At 35.3% G+C, this 3,551-nt stretch overlaps 1 annotated feature.

The window, feature by feature from the left end:
• Positions 1,422–2,104: an enhancer, noted in NCBI's record as "OCT4-NANOG-H3K27ac hESC enhancer chr6:166463835-166464517 (GRCh37/hg19 assembly coordinates)". NCBI's record gives its function as "activates a minimal SCP1, AML or CMV promoter by ChIP-STARR-seq in primed H9 embryonic stem cells {active_cell/tissue: H9 hESC(primed)}" and the evidence as "EXISTENCE:reporter gene assay evidence [ECO:0000049][PMID:30033119]".

Below are 3,551 nucleotides of genomic sequence, written 5' to 3' on the forward strand. Positions count from 1 at the left end.
TAGGATCTCCAATATGACCTTGAATAGAAGTGACAAAAGTGAACATTCTTGCCTTGTTTCAGATCTTAGGGGGAAAGCATGGAATCTTTTGACACTACGTACAATGTTGGCTGTAGGCTTTTTAATGATGTACTTTATCTTGTTGATAAAATTTATTTATATGCCTTGTTTTCCAAGAACTTATCAAAAATGAATGCAGAATTTTGTCAAATGTCTTTCCTGTATCTGTTGAGATGATCTTATGGTGATTCCCTTTCGGTCTGTGGATATGGTCAATTACTTTGGTTAGTTTTCAAATGTTAAATCAATCCTTATTATCATTAGATTATACTGACATATTTATGATGTATTATTTTTTATATTAGGCAAGATTTGTTCTATAAATATTTTGTTATAGATATTCACATCTCTGATAATGAGATATATTAATCTACTTTTGATATTATGGTCATACGACCTCATAAATTGAGTTGGGAAGTATTCCATCTTTTTTTTTCCTGCAAGGGTTTATGTACAATTGGTACTATTTTTTCCCTAAGTGTATGATAGACTTCACCAATGAAGTTATCTAGGCCTGGAGGGTTTCATTTGTTTGTTTGTTGGAACATTTTTAATTAGAATTCAATTACTTTATGGATATAGTGCTATTTGGGTTATTCATTTCTTCATAAGTTTGCTAGTTCATGTCTTTAATGAATATGTCTATTTCGTCTACACTAACATATTCATTTCTGTGAAATAAAGTGATCCATAATATTCGCTTATTATCCTCTCAGTGCTAACAGAATCTGTAGTGATGGCCCTCTCTTTTAGCTGACTTTGGTAAGTTTTGTCTTCCCAATTTTACTCTGATCAGTCTGATTATAGTTCATTAATTTTATTGACTTTTTCAAATAACACAGTTCTGATTTATTGATTTTTCTTTACTGGTTTTCTGTTTTCTATTTCATTGATTTATTATTTTATTTTTAATATTTTTTCCTCCATCTTGGAGAGGTTTAATTTATTCTTCTTTCTTACTTTCTTTTCTTTCTTTCTCTCTCTCTTTCTTTCTTTCTTTCTTTCTTTCTTTCTTTCTGTCACCTAAGCTAGAGTGCAGTGGCACAATATTGCCTCACTGCAGCCTCTGCCTCCGGGGTTCAAGTGATTCTCATCTCAGCCTCCCAAGTCACTAGGATTACAGGCATGCACCACCATGCCCGGCTTTTTTTTTTACTTTTAGTAGAAACAGGGTTTCACCATGTTGTTCAGGCTGGTTTTGAACACTCGACCTCAAGTGATCCACCCGCCTCGGCCTCCCAAAGTGCTGGGATTACAGGTGTGAGCCACCGAGCCTGGCCTGATTTTTAGTTGTGAAGGAAGAACACATGTTTATGCTTTCAGCCCTCTTAAGTTTATTTAGCGGATTTCCTTTACAGCCCAGAATATAATCTATCTTGATAAATATTTGTACTTGAAAATAATGTGTTGTCTGCTGTATTGGATGAGTGTGCTATAAAAGTCAATTACAGCAAGTTGTATGATAGTGGTAGCAGGCTGAATAACAGCCCATAACCATATCCAGGTCCTTATCCCTGAAACCTGTGAGTGTTCCCTTATATAATATCAGGAACTTTGAAGACATGGTTAAATTAAGGACTTTGACATAAGGAGATTATCTTGGATTATCTGAGCCCTAAATGTAATCATAGGAATCCTTGTAAGAGTCAGGAACAGAGAGATTGGCAAACAGAAGGAAAAGGCTATATGAAGACAGCAGAGAGAGATGTGAAGATGATACCCTGCTAGTCTTGAAGATGGAGAAAGGAATCCTGAGCCAAGGAATGCAAAGAATGCAGCTTTAGAAAGTGGAAAAGGCAAGGAAATGAATGCTCACTAGAGCCTCCGCGGGAGGTGGTCCTGCTAACACCTTGCTCTCAACCTAGTGAAACTCATTTCAGAATTCTGACCTCCAGAAATCTAAGAGAATAATTTTTAAAAACGATTTATTTGGAAATTGTTATAGATTCAAAGGAAATCGGAAAGATAGTACAAAGAGATCCTTTGTACACTTCCCCAGCTTCCCCCAGTGGTTATGTCTTGTATAATGTAATATAATAGCAATTGTGTAATACAATACAATACAATATACAATACTTCTTATATAATACAGTACAATAGCAAAACCAGGAAATTGGCATGTGTATAGTTTTATTTCTGTGTCATTTTTCCACATGTGTAGATTCACATAACCACCACCACCACATCCAAGATACGGAACTATGAGGCCAGTCTAGGCAACATAGCAAGACTCTTATCTCTACAAAAATAAATAAATAAATAAAAATTTAAAAGTAGCTGGGCATGGTGGCACATGCCTGTAAGTCCCAGCTATCCTGGAGACTGAAGCAGGAGGATGGCTCAAATCCAGGAATCCAAGGCTACATTGAGCGATGTTCCTACTACCACACTCTAGCCTGAGTAAAAGAGCAAGACCCTGTCTCAAAAAATAAAAATAAAAATAAAGAAGATTTAAAAAAAATTATTCCATGAATCACCACAAAGATCTCCTTATGCTGCCCTCATGGTCACATCCATCCGCTTCTTCCTACCCTCCCACACCCCCCACCATCCCTAACCCCAGCAGTCACTAACCTGTTGACCATCTCTTGGCCAATTGATTTTTTTAATACTTCATTTTTTAGGGCAGTTTTAGGTTCACAGAAAAATTGAAATGAGGATACAGAGAGTTCCCATATATTCCCTGCCCCACACATGTATAGCCTCCTCCCTTATCAACATCCCCCACCAGGGTGGCATACTTGTGACAGCTGATGAAGCTAATTTGCTATGTTTTAAATGGCCAAGTTTGTAATGATTTGTTATAGCAGCCATGGGAAACTAGCACAATAATGTTGTTCAAATCATCTACATCCTGACTCATATTTATTTCATTACTGAGGGAGAAATGTAGATGTTTCCAACTATAACTTTAGATGTGGGTTCTTTTCTTCCTTCCAGTTCTATCAGTTCTTGCTTTACGTATTTTGTACCTTTGTTATTTGTACCCCTGTTAACACATTTTAGACTATCATTTCTCTTGATGAATTTCTCCTTTCCTTATTGTAAAATGTTGATTTTTGTCTCCGGTAATATTACTTGTCCTGATATTTACTTTGACTGTCATTAAGATAGCCATTCAAACTTTCTTTTGATTAGTGTTTTCATGAGATATTATTTTCATCCTTTTCCTTTTGATTTGTGGTTTTATATCTAAAATGGGTTTCTTATAGACAGCCTATAGTTATATCTTGCTTTTATATCCAGTCTGACAGTCTCTGACATTTAATTTTAGCATTTAGGCCATTTTTATTTCATGTAATTATCAACATGGATACATTGAAAATGACCACTTTGCTGTCTATTTTCTATCTGTCCTATCTCCTCTCTATTCCTTTCAGATTAAATGAGTTTTGTTAATAATTTCATTTTATTTTCACTATTGGCTGTTAGCTATACTTTTCTGTGTTGTTTTTTTATAGTTGCTCTAGGATTTACAACATATGCATTGA

The sequence above is a fragment of the Homo sapiens genome, chromosome 6, assembly GCF_000001405.40.
Source record: "Homo sapiens chromosome 6, GRCh38.p14 Primary Assembly".
Taxonomy (NCBI): Eukaryota; Metazoa; Chordata; class Mammalia; order Primates; family Hominidae; genus Homo; species Homo sapiens.